The sequence below is a fragment of the Homo sapiens genome, chromosome 4, assembly GCF_000001405.40.
Source record: "Homo sapiens chromosome 4, GRCh38.p14 Primary Assembly".
Classification (NCBI taxonomy): Eukaryota; Metazoa; Chordata; class Mammalia; order Primates; family Hominidae; genus Homo; species Homo sapiens.
This window is the reverse complement of record NC_000004.12, coordinates 134454094-134476097: the sequence shown is the minus strand read 5'-3', so window position 1 is coordinate 134476097 and position 22004 is coordinate 134454094. Positions and strand designations below refer to the sequence as shown.

Genomic DNA, 22004 nt, shown 5'->3' with positions numbered 1-22004 from the left:
TCATTAGTAATCAAGGAAATGTAAATTAAAACCAAAGTAAGATATCACTAATATTATTATCACTACACACACACCAAGAATGGCCACAATTAAAGACTGACACCACCAATTGTTGCCAAGAGTTTGAATCAAATGTTGTCATACAGTGCTGGTGGGGATGCAAATTAAAACTAAGACTTTGAAAATCTTTTTGAAATTATCTACTCAAGCTGACCTTGTAGCAGCAATTTTACTCCTAGTTATATACTCAACAGAAAGAAGGCTTACAAGTGAGTGCGTAAATTCACGTATAAGAATCTTCATAGCAGCATTATTTTTAATAGCTAGAAACTAGGAAGAGCAGAATTGCTCATCAACAATAGAATAGATGTGCATTATATAATGAAGTATGCATCATCAGTTAAAAAAATTAAATTCTAATAAATTCAATAATATGATTAAACCTCAAAAACAATGCTAGTCAAAAGACACAAATGTGGAACACGTCTGTATAAAACCTGAAAACCAAGCTGCCAGTTCCCGATAGAGTCCCTGACTGGAGTAATAACTTTTATCCCCATCTTATCTACTCTCACTCGATTGGTTCCTTTGGAATGATGCCTTTTAACCAACCCAATGGTGCTTTTTCCAAGACCACCCATAGACCAATCAGCACACACTCCCCCATTCTAAGCTCAGATAAAGCCCGGACTCAACCTCATAGACAGCTACCAACTTCAGGGTCCCCTCTCAGAGCTGCCGGCTTTCTTTTTGTTGCTCAGTAAAATTCTACCCTGTCTTACTCACTCTCTGGTATCCACGTACCTTATTTTTCTTGGTTGCAGACCAAGAACCCAGAACTCGCCAAACTGCAGGAGCGAAAGAGTTATAACGCTCCTGCTCACCAATCTGCAGGCAGCAGGAATAAAAGAGCTGTCCCGCTTGTCTAACAGTGAGAGAGAAGCCACTGGGCACCGCTCCCCCGGCTTGCTGAACTACGGAGTGAAAAAGCTGCAACAATTCTAAACATTCAACATTATTTAAATTTTAACATAATTATAAATAAGCATTTTTTGTTCTCAGTTCAGAATCAGCTATTGTGCTAAAATTACATATCTTAAGTTCAAAATTATAGAATTGTTGTCAAAGGAGAATATTCCTTACATAAAATATAAATGGCGTTCTCATTTTATTATAATGCATCAACTGCTCAAAAGCCATGTCATATTTTATTTGCTTTATATTTGGACCATAACTAGATAGTAAATATATAATATGTATTTTTTCAGTGGCATTCCACTTGACTTGCTTTTTCCCTATTGGGAAATGAAACTTATGCCTTTTTCACCATAGTATGAAGATCTTCCAAGATCTGACTTTAGTCTATTCAATAAAATTTATTTTATTGTACTTTTTTTTTTTAACGGAATTCTCAGTCTGTTTTAGTCTAGTTCTAATTTAGACTAATTAGGTTAAGGATGATATCAGAATTTTCATCCTGGGATTTCTTTTTATTGTATTCTTTGCTCAGGTTCTCTATTTTTTGGAGCTCACATATTCTATATTCTAGTATGGATTTCTCCTGTTATGAAGAGTCCTTTAGAAATTAATTACTTGAGTCCTTACATGTCTGGTGATATCTTCAGTTTTCACATGTCTAATAGATAGTTTTGCTGGGTATCAATGTTTAAGTTCAAAATAATTTTCTTTTACACTTTAGCTCATTGTTTTTATGGCACTTAGTATTCCTGGTAACAGATCTGATGCCACTCAGATTCTTTTTCTCTTTGAATACATTTTTTCCCTATCTTTGAGGGACACAGGGATTTTCTTAGTCATTGATTTACTGAAATTAAACCAATATGTAAAAAAGTCAGTCTGTTTTAATTTATCCTTCTTGATACAGCATGTCTTTTCCCCTAAAGATTCAAGTCTTTCTATATTCTTAGAAAATATTCTTAGAAAAATTCTTAAAAAATATTCTTCTATTATTTGTTTGATTATTTTTTTAAACTACACTTACCATTTCTTTCTGGAACTCCTTTTAAGTGTATGTTAGCTATCATAGTTTTATTCTATATGTATTTTATATCTTTTCTGTTGTGCCATTTATTTTAGGTTTTTCTCAACATTCTGAGAAAAATCTAAATCTTCTAAAAACGCTGAGAAGATAATCTTTCCTCAACATTCTGAGCAAGAACCTAATCTTTCAGGTTTTTTGCTGCTACTTTTATTTCTGTATGTATTTTTAAATTATGTTACTTATAAAACTTGTCACTTATTACTTAAAAGATAAATAGCATTTAAAATGCCCTCTTCAAATATTTCAATTGAAAATAATAATTAAAAAATTGACTTGCAATACTCTTCAAATTTTAAGTTATGTTTCACAGATGATAAATGACATATTCTAACATTTTTCAGAAATAACTTATATTTTAACATTTTTGATTGTAATCCATAGAAAAACTATATGTGAGATCTTAAAAAGGTATTCCATGAAAAAGGGTCTTGTGGGAAAAAGTTTTTCAGACATGTTACATCAGACATGTTTTTCAGACATGAATGTCTATATAGTCTTATTTTTTTTGTGAAATATTTATTAATATTTTACGAACATATTTTATGCTGGGTCATTTTTTGATGCTTATTAATGTTTTCTGATATACTGGATAGAACAGTTCGAATAATGTTTCCCTAATATAGTAAGTGTAGAAAAGTGAGTAAAAATCCAAGTGAAATTGCTTTGCAAAAGTATAGTTGTGATAATATGAAAAGAAAATAATAGGCCAGGCACAGTGGCTCACACCTATAACACCAGCACTTTGGGAGGTTGAGGCAGGTGGATCATTTGAGGTCAGGAGTTCGAGACCAGCCTGGCCAACATGGTGAGACCCCCATCTCTACTAAAATTACAAACATTAGCTAGGTGTGGTGGTGCATGCTTATAATTCCAGCTACTGGAGAGGCTGAGGCAGGAGAATCACTTGAACCTGGGAGAAGGAGGTGGCAGTGAGCCGAGATCATGCCACTGTACTCCATCCTGGGAAACAGAGTGAGACTCTGTCTAAAAATAAAGAAAATAATAAAAGAGATGTATTCTGATATTAAATAGTGTGTTCTTTAAAGTGTTTATTGAGCTTTGTCATACTGTCTGAAAGCATTTAGGAAAGAAATCTTTTCTCATATTTTAAGAGAGAGAGTTTTTTTGGCAATGGAATATATTTAACATATTTAACAATAAGCAATAAAATAGAACCTTTTTGACAGAGATATTAAACGTTAAGTTTGAGTCACTTTGTGTCATTGAACACTTAATTAAGAAGAGAGCTCAGGCCAGCTATTCTTGGAAAGTTGTAGGTGTGACTCATGAAGCAGAGTTAAGGATGAAAGGAAGCCATTTCTTTTAAAAAAAGTTGATGTTTGTAACAGTTTAAAAATTTTCTTTGTTTCTTTTATCTCTCTCTCTTTCTCTTTTTCTTTCTTTCTTTCCTTCTTTCCTTCTTTCTTTCTTTCTCCTTTCTTTCTTTCTTTCTTTCTTTCTTTCTTTCTTTCTTTCTTTCTTTCTTTCTTTCTTTCTTTCTTTCTTTCTTCTTTCCCTTCCGTCCTTCTCTCTCTTTCTCTTTCCCTTCCTTCCTTCCTTCTCTCTCTTTCTTTCTTTCTGTCTTCCTTCCTTCCTTCCTTCCTTTCCTTCCTTCTTCCCTTTCTTTCTTTCCTCTTTCTTCTCTCACCTTCCCTCTTTTTTAAAAAAACATTTTAACAGTTCTTAATTTTCTAAATTTGAGACAAGTACTATTGATAAAATACAGCAATTACTGTTTTTCAAGTAGCCGTTGCGAAAAACTTGAAATTGACTATACATATATGAAAATTAGTCCTAATATTTTCATACTGTTTTACTTTAGTTAATTTATGTCAGTTTTTATCACTTATTTTTGAATTTCATTGCTGTTCACAGTTTCATAGAAAATGATGCTATGACTTCTCAGTCAAATACATGATTATTGAATATATGTAGAGGCACAGAAATAAAGTAACAGAATGTAATTTGATGTATCAGTAAAGAAAATACCTGCCAAGGAAGAAGAGCTACAATTCCATATTTACTTGCAAAACAGCAATGTGTTTCACAAGACTTACAAAGAGAGGTGCTGAGAAGTAGCTGAAGCTCTGGTATGTTTTGTTACTGAGATAACTGTAAGTGGATTGGCTAGAACAGTGAGGCAATGAAACTGGAGGCAGAAAGATAGAAAAACTCCCTGGAAACTTTAGAAAGAAATTTCAAAGCAACAATATGCTGGAGTGAGGGATCTTGTGAAAGCATCACTAAGACATTGTGTTATTGCTTAGTTGGCAATATTAGAATTATTTTGTGGTGGTACCTATGAGAGTGAGTCATCTCTTAATTGGGGGCAGCTTAGATTTGATTAAGTATATAATAGTAATTATTATACATTGCATTTTTAAAAGTCTCTATTTCTTGCGTCCATATTTTGAATATTTTTGGTATAATAAATCTGTACCTGTAACATTGATTCAATACTCTAATTAACTTTGTCTTTCCTTCAAATCACTAATCACCTAAACTGAAGTACCATATCTTTCTCTTTATATTTTATAAAGGGAACAATTTTAACCATATGTATAAAGATAAAATTAATTAGGGTATATGTAATAGACATTAATATAATCTATCTTCCATTTTATTTGGTATGTGCAGAAATATGAACTGAGGAAGAGCTTTATACTTAACTTTTTCCCTGTATCTAAATGGTAGCAGTCGGTTCAAATGACCAATGGACATGTCTGAGTTTTTTAGATGGTATGGTAAATTATTATTTTAGTACATTTTATTTGAAAATCATTTTCGTCAAAATTATATTGAATAAGCTATCAGCAATGATTAAGTGAAAGGAATATTGGCAGTAAAAGGAAAGAAAGTTCAGGCACATTTTAGAGAAACAATATATGTTAGATTTAATAGAGTATAGGGAATTGTGTGATTTTTGAGTTTATGAAATACTTATTATATTTTATTTAAAACCTAAAATAAGGTTCCACCATCTATATGTTTCTGCTTTAGATGTTTAACAAACACAGGAAATGAACAGCAATGAACACCTTTTCTGTTGGTTAACTGAAACAATGGCTGGATTTAGAATCAGAGTGCTTGGGTGTTAGTTTTTCTTTGTCATGTTTGATTTTGCCTCTCTTACTACCCTGAGATCTCAACTCTGATGTGGATTTAATAAGGAAAACAGTACTGACCTCATAAGGCTATTGTCAAGATCAGAATAGGGCAACGTGTGCAAAGGGGCTTTGTGAACTTTATCAAACAATTACAAGAGAGATGTTGACCTGTGACAACCATGAAGTCGTTAATGTAGTTGTTGTTGCTGCCACCAAGTGGCTGGAGGGTAAGGAAGAGGAAAGGATAAGGGACAGACAAGATTCAGAAATGTTGAGCCTTATGTGCTATCCTAAATAATTTGGATTTTATCCATAGGACAAGGAAAAGCTACCAAAAAGTTTTAAGTGGAGGATTAATATAGTGTGATTTGCTTAAAAAAAACAAAAACTTTACATGACTTACTGATGTTATTGGGATATTTGCAACTACCCGTCTGAACTGGATTTCTCTAATACAAAATAAAGGTAGAAAAGTTTAGTGTCAGCAAAGAACAATTGAGAACAGCTCTGCCAGTGAAATAAAGATTCGGATTTATCAAAGGAAACTCAAACTAATTTTTTAAATGTGCCCAATTGTATACATGGAACACTACCTATTTGCATTATCCTAATTTTAAACTAGGAGATTTTTAGAAATCAATGAGTGTATCTAATAAACAAGATTTAGAAAAGCAGTTACATCTTTATTTTCATATCTATATACGTATTTATTTTTATCACAGAAATAAGTTTAAATTTTATTGCCTTTTGTTGGTAAATGACTAAGTTAAATGGCCATGTTACAATATCCTAAAGATGCTTCAAACTATGCTCTATGGGGTAACTTATAAAAGGCCCAGGGCTATCTCTAGCATTTGGAAATATCTTGAAATGTTTATTAATGGCCTCATAAACCATGTTCATCCTGTTTTTCTGCTGAATTCTTGGCAATTGGAAAAAAGACACTCATTTCATTGCTAGATGTGATCACAGAGGATTCTAAAAGCATATACCTTGCTAAATTCTGATACATACATATGAATTATGAATTTTTAAATCATCAACAAAGATCAGTGTACAGAATTGACTATAAATCACTCTCTCTGGGATTGAGAATACATAATTTTTATGTCCACAGGTAAAGGAAATTTTAAAATGAAATCAGTGGCAATGTTTGAATATGTTGTCAGCATTTGTTTATTTAGAAATTGAAAATCAAATTTATATAATCATCATCTCTTCTAATGAGATGAAAGGCTGTTTTTACATTTTACTGAAACTAAAAAACATAGACATGTGTAGATAGAAAGAATATTGATACTTTATTCCTATTCTAGTTGCATGGATAGCTACATCACATATAGGCAATTAATTAAGTAATTAAATAATTATTCACTTTATTTTTAACAACTATTTTTGGCTATGGAGCGAGATACTATGGATGCAACATTGAGCAAAAGTAGACATGGTCCCACCAGTATCACGACAAGGTCTACACTTAATGGCGCAGCAAATTTGGAGAACATTTTTGAAAATTTTTTCAATCGTTTATGAATTACTACACAAATGACAGATGTGGTTAGAATCTCAGAAGACTAGAAACATCATAAGCATAGTGATGCGTTAATTAGAGTTCTCATATGTAAATAATAGTATTTCAGTTTCTAGGGAGAAAATAGTAATTTTTATGAAGACTGCATTCAGTCTATAGATCAATTTTGGGAAAATTGACATCTGAACAATATAGTCTCATGCAATGTATTGACATGATATATTTATATATTTCTCCATTTATTTAGGTGTTTTTAATTTCTCTCAACTATGTTTGGTACTGTTAATTTTACAGGTGTTATACTTATTTTGTTAAAATTACTACAAATTATTCCATGTTTAATGATGGTATTACTTTTAAATTTTATTTACGCACTCTTTTTTTTTGCTAATATATAGAAATTCAATTGCTTTTGCATATCAATCTGGTATCCAATAATCTTTCCAAACTCACTGGCTATTTCTAGGATATTTTTGTAATTTTAAGGATTTTTAAAAATAGATGATTAAGATATTTGTGCATGTAAATATTACTCAATCATTTCTAGTTTGTATATTTTATTTATTTTTCTTGAATCACTTCTCTACCCCAGCAACTTCATTTTAATCCTTTCTTTTCCCTAATATTTTCCCAATATTCTTGCCTTCCCCAATAGAGAGGAAAAGAATTCAGTCTTTCAACTATGTATTTTGTTTACTCTTGGATTTTAGTAGATGTTTTATATAAGATTTCATGTGGCAGAAATCCAAGATTTCCAGGATGATCTCCACACCTTAATGTTATAACCAATACAATCTTTTTTTTTTTTTTTTTTTTTGAGCATAGGCAGGACTTGTGGCTTGCCTCTAATTAATGGAATATGGCATAGATGATGGGATATCACAACCATGATTGGGTTATAATGTATTAGTCCCTCTTACTTATAAATGGTAGAAGCTTTCCAATGGACCTTGCAAAGGCAAGGTGCTATGACAGACAGACAGGGCCACATGTCAGGCAAGCAAGAGTGACCTGTAGGATCTGACAGCCTCAGTCCCAGACTGTAAGAAACTGAAATCTGCCATAACAACATGAATTTGAAAGAGAACCCTGAGCTCCAGAATACACAACTGAAACCTTGATTGAAGCTTTATGAGATACTGAGCAGGGGACTCAACTAAGTTGTGTACAGACATCTGACCCATAGACACTTTGATATAATAATTGGTGTTCTTTTAAGCTGCTAAGCTTGTGATAATTTCCCACACAGCAATAGAAACTAAATATACAGATAAAATATTTTTTCTTGTATTCTCTTTTTAAAAATTAATTTTGGAGATTATTTTCAATTTTCTGAAATATTTTGTATGGGATTATATTATTTATTGTTTAAATATTTGAAATGAATAACCAGTAATGCCTCTGGGTCTAGATTTTTCTTTGTTGGAAGGTTTTCTGCTACTAATACAATTAAAATCTAGAAAAATCAGCATTTTAATTAATGGTGTTGGTAATTTGTGTTCTTACTCTTTTTTCTTTTATTGCAATAGCTAGATAATGAACAATTTGGCTGATGTGTTCAAAGAATTTGCTTTTGGTTTTATCAAATTTTTCCCCATTATTGTCACTTTTCTGTCATCAATGTCTGCTCTTTTTTTATTATTACCTTACTTTTACTCACTTTGGGCTTAATTACTACTTGTTTTTCTAGATTCTTAAAATGGAAGATTAGACCAAATAATTAAGACCTTTCTTCTCTTTACCATAAACATTGAAAGCTGTAAACTTCCAACTCAGTATTGGGTTAGCCACAGAACAGTTTTTAAGATGTTTCATTATGTATTATTTCATATTTTTACATTTCCCTTTGATGTTTTTCTTGGACTTCAAGTTATCAACCAGTGTATTTTTTAATTTTACATATTTAGGGGTAACCTAGTTATCTGTCTATTTTTGATTACTAATTTAATCCCATTATAGTCAGATAATTGTTATTTTATGCTATTTGTTTTATGACCCAGCATATGGCATATATTTTAAAATATTTTACAAACTTAAAAATTATGCATAGACTACTGTTGCAGCATAGCGTATAATACAAATTAAGTCAACATAATTGGTGTTATCACTCAAATTTTCTATGTATTTATTGATTTTGGATCTACATAGTCTATCAATAATTGAGAAAAGACAGACAAAATTTCCAACTGTAATTCTAAAATGTGTCCTCTTTTCTTTCTGATTCTAACAATTTTTTTACTTTTAAAAGTATTGTTGTTAGTGCATACTCATTTAGGATGTGTTTATGTCTCTTGATAAATTAACTTTCTTATAATTACATGTCCTTCTTTATCCATGTTATTATTTTTAAGTTTCTCATTACCTAATATTGGTATTCCCACTTACATTCTTGATTATTAGACTTTGCATGGTATATTGACTATACCCATCCTTTCTTTTAACATGACTATACCTCAATATTTAAAATAATTTTCATATAGACAGCATATAATTGGCTCTTACTTTCTTATATAGACCTACAACTGGAATGTGCATATCACTTATATTTTGTATAATTTTCAATATATTTGGGCTATGCATACAATTGTATTTGCATTCTATTTGTCTTCCTTTTTCTCTGTCCTTTTTTTCTTTCAAAGTAATTATTTTTCTCCTCAATTATGTATCTAGTATTGACTTAGCCATATTCTTTTGTTTTATTTTTAGGGTCACTGTTATATAATTTTAAAATGCTTTATCTTATCATATTTGTCCAATATTTATAGTTCACTGCTTGATGTATAATACAATAATATGTATAACATATATGTTTAATACGTATAACATGAATTTTACAACTTCCATTTCTGCCCTTGTTCTTTGTGTTATTTTTACCATACATTTAATAGATGTCTTGAGAGGCCTACAATACAGTTACTATGTTTTGGTTTTAATAGTCATCTTTTAATGAACTAAAAGATGGGGAAAAAGTCTTTAATATTTATTTACCGCACACTCAGAAATAGCATTCTTCATGGTCTACTGTAGTTCTGTGTTTCCACCTGGTATGTTTTCTTCAGCCAGGGAAGAACTTTCCTTAATATTCCTTCTAGTGTATGTCTGCTGGCTCTGAATTCCCTTAGGTCTTGTTCGCTTGAGAAATATTTCACTTTTAGTTTGGAAAGATATTTTCCTATATATAAATTAAGGTTTGGTAATTTTTGTCAGCAACTTAATTAGTTTGTTTCACTCCTTGTTTTCTTCATTTCTAATGAAATGTCTATAACCATTCTTATTTTTGTTCTCAAATGTTTAGTGTGGCTGCTTTAACATTTTTCTTTTTTAGCATTGTATATCAACAGTTTGATTTAGATTTTTCTTAGTGTAACTCTATGTTTATTCTGCTAGAGACTTTCTGAGATTCTCAACACAGGGGATATAGCGTTCACTAAATTTGGTATAGTTTGGGCACCGTTTTTCAAATACTTTTTTGACTTTCTACTTTGCTCTCCTCTTCTTCTGGAATACAAATTACATATAAATTAGAATACTTGCTACAGGCCACTGAGGCTTGGATTAATTTATTTGTCTATTTAAAAAAATATATCTTTGTGCTTCAGTTTAGATATTGCTAGGGACTGAATTTTATCTCCTCAAAATTCACTTGTTCAAGCCCTAACTTCCAATGTGACTGTATTTGGAGATAGGGTTGAAAAGGAGGTCATGAGGGTGGGGGCTGGATACAATAATGTCAGTGTCTTTCTGGGAAAAGACACCAGAGAGCTCCATCTCTCCACACATGCATGCAGAAAAGAAAGGCCATAGGAGGACACAATGAGCAGACAGCTGCTGCAAGCCAGGGAGAGGGTCCTCACCAGAAACTGGCCAGGCTGGCTCTCTAATCTTGAACTTCCAACCTCTAAAACTGTGGGGAAATACATTTCTCTTATTCAAGCCACCCAGCCTGTGCTGTTTTGTTATGGCAGCCTGAGCTGGCTAATATAGGTATTCTCTATTGCTTTTTATTTGAATTTATTGGTGATTTGACCTACTGTGATATAGCTGCTAAAGTTACCCAGTGGATATTTTAATTTTGATATTATAAATTTTATCTCTAGAAGTTCCATTTGGTTCTTATTTAAATATTTTTATGTATCTTTTGCATTATGTTCTTCTATAATAGTTCGAATATTGCAGTGGCTTAGTGATGTGCCTGTGCCGCTGAGCTAAACTACATTTCTCAGAATTCCTTTCCTGCATTTTCCAGTTAGAATAGGCAACAAGAAAGTTTCCTGTGGGGAATTGAAAGGTAGAAGTGAAGTGGCAGTCTTTTTGCAGCTCGTACGCATCATTGCTTATCCACTGCCTCACCTCCTTTGTGGAGAGAAGTGGTCAGGTTTGCAACTGCCCCAACTTCTCTGTCATTCTCCTAAAGCTTCTTTGACTCCTGGGCCAGAATTGTGTATGGTTAGATCTGTGGTAAAGGGTCCCAGCTTTTTCAGGACATTTACCACTTAAGGTCAGAGTCACTAAGAATTGATGACAGTTTTAGTCCATCTCATTCATTTCTTGACTTCCTGCTCTGTGGACTACATACAGCATCAGACCTGAAGACAACAGTCAGACAGAGACTGCTTAGACAGCTCCCACTATTGCATACGTCAATCCCTAAAATAAATAAGTATATAAGTAAACTTATATATACTTATGTGTGTGTACACTTGTTATATGAAACAAATATTTAAACATTTCTAATAGTTCTATTTAAGTTCTTGTATGGTAAATCTATCCTTTTTTTAATTTCCTTATTTTACTTTATTTTTAATGATTTTTCTCATGTGGCTCACAGGTCTGTTTTTTTACCTAGCTAGTGATTATTTTACTAGATCCCAGATATTGTACATTATTTTTTGTCAAGTGTTTAGATTTTGTTGACTTCTTTTAAAGACTATTGAAGTTTGCTTTGGGAGGTAGATAAGTTTTAAAAGGAGGCTTTTGTGGTTTTTTTATTGTTTATTTTTATTTTTTGGATCTGAAGTGGAATTTACTCAAGGGCCAATATAGCTCTGTTAGCCAGTTGTGAAACGTCTGAGGCTTCTATTAATTATCTCAAGTATTCAACAAGATTTTTTTACTCTCTCTGGACACTGACTGTCTTCCATCCTTGTGTGTGGCCTGGGAATTAATATTCTTACAATTTGTTTGCAGTCGATATTGCTTGACTTTGTGGAGTTTCACCCTGTGCACATGCAGATTAATATTCAGTCAAGAAAAACGGGAACCACTATATGTATTTTTGAGTTCCCTCCTTACTGTTGCTTTACCCCGCAAATTGCAGCATTCCCAGTCTTCCCAAACTACAGTCTGTCTCTTCAAGACAAGACTGTATTGCTTGCTTTGCTTCTCTTCTCGCTCTGTAATCCAGAACTTACCTTCAGACAAAAAGACAGAGCAATTCAGTGTGGATCTGTCTCTCAGGAAGCATAATGCTGTAATTCATATCATTCCAATGAGTGAAAACATTGTTTCAGACCTTTAGTCCAGATTTCTAGTTGTTTACATTGGGAGAAAATCTGTATACCAGTTACTCCTTTATAAAATTTGTAATAAGCGTTGATTAGGGAAAAATAAAAACGCAAAGAACATTTATTTCTGTATTTTTTTTTTGCTCTGATTCAGAAATAGTATTAATGCGGGATGAAATTGAGAAAACAGGCATGAACATGAAAGAAAAAATTTTCTAAGAAGCAAAGGAGTTTTGCCCATCTAAGAGGTGGTCAGTTAAATATTTTAAAATAACAAAATAGGGATTAAAAAACAGGTGGCTTATGCACAGACATTAACCACTTTTTCTCTCAACATCCCACAAAAATTATGGTACAGAAATATAGAAAATACAAGAGTTTATAGGAAAGGACATGAAAGCAGATGAAAAATTTGGCGATTTTTTTTGAATTATACAGTGCAGTAGAATCATAAACTAATTTAACTAATAATTTTTTTACTGTAAATGTATTTTGAGAGAGATAAACAACCAAGCTTATTTGTCCTATTGTACTTCTGAAAACCTTAGCGCTTTAAGAAGCATTTCAGTGGTGATAGTTTGGGGACAATGAGGTCAATTTTTTGTTGGTTTATTAGCTTTTGCTATAAGAAAGACATTTAAATGCATTTGGGCAAATTCTTTAAATATAAACAGAATATTTTGTTTCTGAATCTACGTGAAAAATTGTCATTTGTACAAAAAAATTTGACACTCAACATTGCTAGAACTGGTCCACATATTTTCATTTTTCCTCAAACTGAGCCTGTATATACAAACTAAGAGATAATTCATATAACTATAGCTATGTTTAAAGATGTGTGGGTGAGTACCAAAATGTCTTCTGACTACTTTCTTTAACATTTCCAAATTAATATTTACTTGTTCTCTTTTTATAGCATGCACAATTTCTTTCAATAAGCAGTATTTATAAGCAATAGCAAGATTTTATGAATTAATTACTTTAGACTGATTCAGACTTTGTAATAGCCTGACTATAGGTTTTTAAAACTATTTGGCTTCCAAGTTGAGCCACCAAAAAGGAAATATAAAGCAATGGTTGTTAACTTGAAAACCTAGGTCTCAATTTTCTTTTCGGATATAGTTAAGAACATTGATCTGAGGAACTATCCCATAGTTTGAGAAAATATATTCTTACATCTTTCAGTTTATAGCTATAACTACCAGAGTCAACTCTCCCTCCTTCCCCACTGGAATGGAACTGCAAAATATATTTCTGTAGCTGCTATAAAATTATTCACTTATAAGAACAAGAGAGCTTTAATATAATGCTGTTCTCAGAATCCTGATGGGCAGTACAGTGCAATGAAGGGAACTTCTGGTGTTTGTGGTAATCAAATCCCTTGGAGAGGGTCCAAAGTCCATTTGCCTAATGCTGAATTGTGTTCAAAATGCTGTTATACTGAAATTTTAGTCTATTCCACAAGAACAGATGCCTGCTGTTTTGATTTTTCAGGTTTTCATAGGAGATTGGCTATATCTACTCATTAAATGGCAGGACAAGTCAGAAAATACCATAGGCCATAAATTCTTCATTTAAATTGATTAAAAGCAAACTCAATATAGTAACATAATCAGAAATATGTATAATTCCAGTCTTTACAAATTGTTTTGGCAGATTGATGAAGACTCTGAATCTGAATTTGACTGTAAGTCAAAACCAGAACAAATTTTATAGTATTTTATGAAACCATGCATGCCAACACAAATGAATTCATTATTTTTCAATTATATTGAGAAATAGATATTAAAATTTGCCATCTAGAATGCCACCTTTATATTTAAATCTATATTATGACTGTGTTTCAATATATCAATATTAAAATAATATTTTTGTATAACTATGATAGTAATAATTTCTGATTCAAATACCAAAAAAAGATAGTTCATTTTTATTTAGTGATTAGTGATAGATTGATAGATAAGTATGATAGGTAGATAGAAAATTTCTGCTAGTAACTTGAGATTTTCTTTCTGATCAAAAAGAAAGGCATGGATCTTTTGGAAACAACAATAGCCCATGTTGATACTACATTTTTGCTGAAAGAAGTTGAAAAACAGTGCAAAAGTGATCATTACATATTCAATTCTGTTCAATTGTTCTCTTGCTGATGTTTATCAGGCGATAATTAATTTGCTTTTGATTCCTTAGCTAATTCACCACATGGGATTTTCTTTGTATCCTTTTCAATGTCCTAAACTGATAATCACTTTGCCTTTTATGCAGTTTAAACTAGTAGAAAGACCATAAAGTTTGGTTTCAGAAAATCAGGATTTTAATTAAGATTTTTTCATTCATTAGCTGTGTTGTTTGTTTAAGTCACAGCCCTATGTCTCTCTGGTTTAATCTGTAAATAATAATAGTGCTAACAGTATTAGTCTGTTTTCACACTGCTGTGAAGAAATACCCAAGATTGGGTAATTTGTAAAGGAAAGATATTTAATTGGCTCACAGTTCTGCAGAACTAGGGAGGCCTCTGGAAACTTACCATCATGGCAGGAGGAGAAGCAAACACCTCTTTCTTCACATGGTGGCAGGAAGGTGAAGAATGAAAGCCGAGTGAAGGGGGAAGCTCCTTATACAACCATCAGATCTCTTGAGAACACACTCAATATATCAAAAGTAGCATGGGGGAAACAGCCCACATGATTCAATTAACTCCCCCTGGGTTCCTCCCACTACACATGGGGATTATGGGAAATACAACTCAAGATGAGAATTGTGTGGGGACACTGCCAAACCATATCATTCTGCCCCTAACCCTTCCAAGGTCTTATGTCCTCACATTGCAAAACACAATCATGTCTTTCCAACATTCCCCCAAAGTCGAAGCCCATTCCAGCATTAACCCAAAGTCTAAGTCCAAAGTCTCATCTGAGGCAAGGCAATCCCTTCCACCTATGAGCCTCTAAAATCAAAAGCAAGTTAGTTACTTCCTAGATACAATGGAAGTACAGGCATTGGGTAAATACACCCATTCCAAATGGGAAAAATTGGCCAAAATGAAGGGGCTACAGGCCCAACCCAAGTCCAAAACCCAACATGAGGTAATTACATCTTAAAGCTCCAAAATAATCTTCTTTGTCTCCATGTGACACATCCAAGTTATGCTGATGCAAGAGGTGGGCTCCCACAGCCTTGGGCAGCTCCGTCCCTGTGGCTTTGCAGGGTACAGCTCCACTCCTGGCTGCTTTCATGGGGTAGTGGTGAGTGTCTGTGGCTTTTCCAGGTGCACAGTGCAAGCTGTGGGTGGATTTACCATTTTGGGGTCTGGAGTATGGTGGCCTTCTTTTCACAGCTCCACTAAGCAGTTCCCCAGTGGGAACTCTGTACTGGGGCTTCAACCCCGTAATTCCCTACCACACTGCCCTAGCAGACATTTTCCATGAGGGCTCTGCCCCTGCAGCAAACTTCTGCCTGGACCTCCAGGCATTTCCATACATCATCTGAAAGCTAGGTGGAGATTCCCAAACCTCAATTATTAACTTCAGTGCACCCACAGACCCAATACCACATGTAAGCCACCAAGGCTTAGGGATTGCATCCTTTAAAGCAACAGCCTAAGCTGTATGTTGGCCCCTTTTAGCCACAGCTGGAGCTGAAGCAGCTAGGATGCAAGGCACCATATCTTGATGCTTCATAGAGCAGGGGGGGCCTTAGGCCTGGCTCACAAAACCATTTTTCCCTTCTAGGCCTCCTGACTTATCAAGGGAGGTGCTACTCTGAAGGGACATGCCCTGGAGACATTTTCCCCATTCTTTTGGTGATTAATATTCAGTTCCTTATTACTTACGCGAATTTCTACAGTGGGCTTGCATTTCTCCCTAGAAAATGGTTTTTCTTTTCTATTGTATCATCAGCCTGCCAATTTTCCAAACTTTCATGCTCTGCTTCCTCTCGAAATCTTTGCCACTTAGGAGTTTCTTCTGCCAGATACCCTAAATTATCTCTCTCAAGATCAATGTTGTACACATCTCTTGGGTAAGGGCAAAATGCTGCCAGTCTCTTTGTATAGCAAGAATGACCTTTATTCTGTTTCCCAAAAGTTCCTCATCTCCATCTGAGACCACCTCAGCCTGGACTTCATTGTCCACATCACTATCAACATTTTGGTCAAAGTCATTCAAGAAGCTCCAGAAAGCTCCAAACTTTCCCACACTTTCCAATCTTTTTCTGAGCCCGCCAAACTGTTTTAACCTTTGCCTGTTACCCGTTCCAAAGTCACTTTTATATTTTGTTTTTTTAAAAAAATATTATTATTATTTTTGAGATGAAGTCTTGCTCTGTCACCCAGGCTGGAGTGTATTGGCACGATCTTGGCTCAATGCAACCTCCACCTCCTTGGTTCAAGCGATTCTTCTGCCTCAGCCTCCTGAGTATCTGGGACTACAGGCACACGCCACCACATGTGCCTAATTTTTGCATTTTTAGTAGAGACGGGATTTCACCATATTGGTCAGGCTGGTCTAGAACTTCTGACCTTGGGTTATCCACCTACCTCAGCCTCACAAAGTGCTGGATTTACAGGCATGAGCCACCATGCCTGGCCCATTTTTGGGTATCTTCACAGCAGTGCTCCACTACCTCAGTACCAATTGATTGTATTAGGTCATTCTCATACTGCTATGAAGAAGTACCCCAAACTGGATAATTTGTAAAGAAAAGAGGATTAATTGACTCACAGTTCACAGGGATGGGGAGGCCTCAGTAAACTTACAATCATGGTGGAAGAGGAAGCAAACATGTCCTTCTTCACTTGGCCACAGAAAGGAGAAGAATGAAGGCTGAGCAAAGGGGGAAGCCCCTTATATAACCATCAGATCTCATAAGAACTTACTCTCATGACAATAGCTTGGGGGAAACTGCCCCCATTATTCAATTGTGTTCCTCTTGGTCCCTCCCACCACAAGTGGTGGTTATGGGAACTACAATTCAAGGTGAGATTTGGGTGTGGACAATAACCAAACTGTATCACTATCTCTCAGGAATAATGTGAAAAGAAAATGTGAGCATTTATGTTGAAGCCTGGGGTGAATAAATCATTGTGTGAAACAGTGGTTCTCATTAGATTCACTGGAAACTTGTTAGAAACGTGAAGCAGTCAAACGCCATCCCAAACCTACTAAATCAGAATTTCTAGGTATGGGGCCTTGTAATCTGTGTTTGAACAAGCCCTGCAGATGATTTGTGTGCTTAGTAAAGTCTGAGAACTACTGGTGTAAGGAATGTCACCTCTTTGTGTTTCAACACAAGGCACTAGAATCTTCTCTGCTATAGTTCTTTGACAATTCCTTGTCCTTTATATTCAAGGATTTTTCAAGGGGTCATGGGTAAAGATACTAATTTTTCACACATGGTTTTATGACATGAATTAACTATTTGATAAGTAATGAAATCATCTCTACACATAATTTTAAAAATAATTACAAATAACACTATAACTTAGGTAAAGGTCAAATTTGTTACTAGTTTTAAATTTCATCTATCTATGGAATTGAAGACATTATATTGTGTTTGGATCTAGGAAATACTGCTGCTTTGGTCTAATTCAGAATTCTCTTCTTATATTGCTCAAATTCTAGTTACTTTTTTCCTTCCTTCCTTCCTTTCTTCCTTCCTTCCTTCCTTCTTACCCTCTCTTCCCACCCCTTTCTCCCTTCTTCCTTTCTTCCTATTTTTCTTCTTTTCTTCCTTCAATGTCTTATATCATCATGTTTGTTATCTATCATGTCATGTTTGCTCACTTTAAATAATGTCATTGGTACTATTAGTACTGCTCAAAATTTATTCATGCATTTTTTTATTCACTTTAGATAAAAAATCTGTTAGAATAACATAGAAGACAATGGAAGGGAAGAGGAGGAGAGGAGAGGAGACCATCTCATAAAGGTATTGTTTCATAAAGTTTTTGTTGATTTTTGTGCATTCATATTTTTAGTTGCAATGTGGAATATTTTCTTACTGTCAGTTGAATGGAAAAAAATGCTTTGCATAATGCTTACCTTTAGTTCCCTCATTCTCTCTCTCTCTCTTTATGTCTTATTCTTCCACGTTCCTGTCTTCTTCCAACACTGCTTTCATGTTAATGGTTTCATGTTTTATGCTTCATTTCTTTGGACAAAAAGAGTAAACCCAAATTGTTTACAAGCTAAAAAATGGAATCCTTGTTACAAAGAAATAATCTTTATTAAAGATCTCTAGCTGAAGTTGTTCAGGGCTTTCCTATCAACTATTCCTATTTCACTGGTGGTTTGCAAAAATATTCTCACTGTATAAAATGGTATGTATTTTTTTGCAATTCTGATTTCTTAATCTCCTATTTTAATGGTACTTTTGATAGGAATATAATAACTTATTGTAAGTATGTTATTTATAAAATTATGCACCAGGCAAAAGCTCCACGTGCTTTAATTCATTTAACATTAATTATAACTTTATAAAGTAAGAACTATCATTATCCCCACTTTATAGAAGAGTAAACTGAAGAAAAGAGAGTTTAAGTGACATGTTCAGGATCACAGATTAATAAGTGGAAAAGCAGAGATTTAAGTGATGGTAGTCTTGTTACAGAACCCTTTGTCTTGACCTGCTACAAGATAACACTGAACACATGACTTAAGAGTAGCGGTTATCCTCAATTCCACTTCAAAAATCTCAACCTGTTTTTTCTATTTAGCAGTGCTAAGAGAAAGTGCAGATATTATCCTTCTCTAGGATTTTACCCAGTTTGGAATTTTAAATTTTGAATGTTTGAGGGAGATGGATACACGAGACTCTGAATTGTCAAGTTATTACTATTTCTGAAGAAGAAAAAGCTACTTTTCATGAAGCGCTTTAGGAAAAAATAAAGCAGGAGTTGGTTTACTTCTCTTTTACTCCCCAACCCCAACTTCCAGGCATTCAAGAATCTTCAGTGCTCAGAATTCACAACGGAAAAGTACCTGAACTCAGAGGTATCTGCTAGGAATGCAAGAGAATGCCCTATTACATTAGTTTCAGTTGAGGATATATTTGACTTACTCTTACCTTTTAAAACATTCATATCCTTGGAGAATTTTATTTTACATTATTTTACTAGATTAAAAAATAGTTCATGTTTAAATTCTTACCACATTTTATCTTCTTTCTCTTTTTTCCCTGCTTTTTGATTTTACTTATTTGGCTTTCTCTTGTTTCCCTATTTCTTTTTGTTTTCTTTTCTTTTCCAAATCTGATGTTTTCCAGAGTAGGTAGGGAATAGGCTGAGGCCAGTAAGGCATTTTCTTTTGAGGCAACATTTAACAGGGCACTGAAACACAGTTTATCTATCTATCTATCTATCTATCTATCTATCTATCTATCTATCGATATAATATTTTCATGCACTATTTTAAAAAAATCCTCGGCAAATCACGGCACATGGATTAACTTGTTGTAAATAAATTTTTATTGGAACAAACACCAGGATTAGAGTGAGGTAAGTGAGGAAGATTTGTACAATTATAGGATCAAATCCTGTCTTTATTTTAAGATGTTCTATTTTGTATTTTACATTTGACATTAAAACATTGCAGTAAATATGTTTATATTGATTATGTAGTTGTTTTGTACCTCGTTGATTTTTCCAACCTGATGCAGCTATCTCACTCACCTTACTCTAGTTCCAAACTTGGAATTCATAAGATTAAAAAAAATCCTAGAATCCACTCCCATACTACAATTATTGTTTATCTCATGAGATCCACAACTAAAAATTTTCCAAAAAGGAAATGCTTCTCTTCTTATAGATCACACATAAGGATTAATGGACTTTAGTAAGTATTCAATATATACCATACTACATAAAATATGACTGGATACTAAAATTTTGAGCACAAGTTCCACATATCTATTTTAGTTTTCAAGTAAAATAAAATAAATGTTTGACATTTCAAACTGGGATGTATCCCAGTATCTAACTCTTGGTATGCTCTTCAGATTTCCTAAAACTATAGAAGCTTATGCAATCCATAATGGTGGTCTGAATGACTTTCACACTTAAACTATTAAGAGTTCATCTAAGAATAAATACCACTAAACTTCTCTTTTTTGCCTTTACTCTTTGGTGTTACACAGTGGCTTTGTTGAACTCCAGTCCTCCACAGAACAAACACTGATGGTCAACTTCATAATATTTTCTTGGAGTAGGACCTAGTACAAACTGCCATAATCCTACAAAGGAAAGGGATCTTAGTCCCTCTTAGGTCAAGCACAATTAACTTTCCTCAAGCTGGCCTCAGTTGTCAGTCTATATCTATTATGAAGTGAATGTTTATATCATCCCAAATTCATATATTGAAATAAATTCTAACCTTCAATATGATGATATTAGGAGATGGAGCCTTTGGGAGATAATTAGGTCATAAGAGTGGAGCTCACATGACTGTGATTAGCACCCTTATAGGAAGTGACAGGAAAACATCCTCTTTTCTTGCTCTCCAACAAGTGAGATTAAGTCAGGGAGGCATCTGCTCATCAGGAAGCTGACTCTTACCAGACGTTGATCTGCTGATGCCTTGATCATGGACTTTTAGTTTCCAGAACTGTGAGAAATAAATGTTTATTGTTTAAGCCACCTAGTCTATGGTAATTTTTTATAGCACCATTAACTGACAAAGACATATACTTATGCTCAGACTTTATTTTGAGAACTCTAGCAATCCACTAAGTCTTCTGAAAAAGCTTCTGATATCAGCCTCTTGCAAGGCAGGTAATAGTTGTCTTCCACAGAACCGGTACTCCTCTCCTTGATATTAGTTCAGTAGCCTAGATGCCACTGCCTTCAGGTAACATAGCATCAGTACTTTTGCTCTTGCACTATTATGCTCTGAGCCAATTTGCCCATTCATACATTTCTCCTAACTTTAACTACCAATGATCAGGTATAGACTTGTTTCTGTCCTTCCTGAAGGTACTCAGATTCTTATGTATATTAGATCCCCTTCCTCTCTTATGATTTGTTTTATATTTCAGCAAAGCCAAGTGATGGGTACTTTTATAGTCATAATGCCACATTTATTCTAAAATAGTAGTTTTCAGTAAAGATTTACAGGGCCAAGAAGGCAAATTTTTTCAAAAAGAATAAGTGAATGAATAAATAAATGAATGAAAAATGGTTTTTCCCTGTGGTGGGGCAATACTATTTTTTTCTTCCTTCTATTGTTTACTTACCTTAATCCATAGAGAAGAAAACTTCCTACATTCTGTCTTCTTGAAGATATTATTTTTCCTGAGGTAGTCAGAGCATTCAAGTTGACAAAGGGCCTGACATTGAGCCATATTTTCCAGAGGAAGGCAGTCACAATGTAAAAATTTCTTCTACTACATACCTTGACTTCTACTGCTGTCCTTTCCTTGAGAAACAGTAGACTCCCACTAATGGCTCTTTCTTTTTATCATTCTTTTTTTATATATATACTTTAAGTTCAGGGCTACATGTGCAGAATGTGCAGGTTTGTTATGTAAGCATACACGTGCCATGGTGGTTTGCTGCACCCATCAACTTGTCTTCTACATTAGGTATTTCTCCTAATGCTATCCCCCCATCCCCCCACCCCATGACAGGCCACAGTGTGTGATGTTCCCCTCCCTGTGTCCATGTGTTCTCATTGTTCAACTCCCACTTATAATTGAGAACGTGCGGTGTTTGCTTTTCTGTTCTTGTGTTAGTTTGCTGAGAATGATGGTTTCCAGCTTCATCCATGTCCCTGCAAAGGACATGAACTCATCCTTTTTTACAACTG

The 22004-nt window shown here is 34.0% G+C and overlaps 1 long non-coding RNA gene across 1 annotated transcript in view; it reads right to left on the bottom strand.

The window, feature by feature from the left end:
- LINC02462 (long intergenic non-protein coding RNA 2462) overlaps positions 1 to 22004 on the bottom strand; it is a 121637-nt gene that overhangs the window by 69407 nt on the left and 30226 nt on the right. The window contains exons 2-3 of the long non-coding RNA NR_147155.1: positions 20574 to 20804; positions 18246 to 18354 (exon numbers count right to left, since the gene is read on the bottom strand). This is a non-coding gene — a long non-coding RNA (long intergenic non-protein coding RNA 2462). The remainder of the gene's footprint in view (positions 1 to 18245; positions 18355 to 20573; positions 20805 to 22004) is intronic.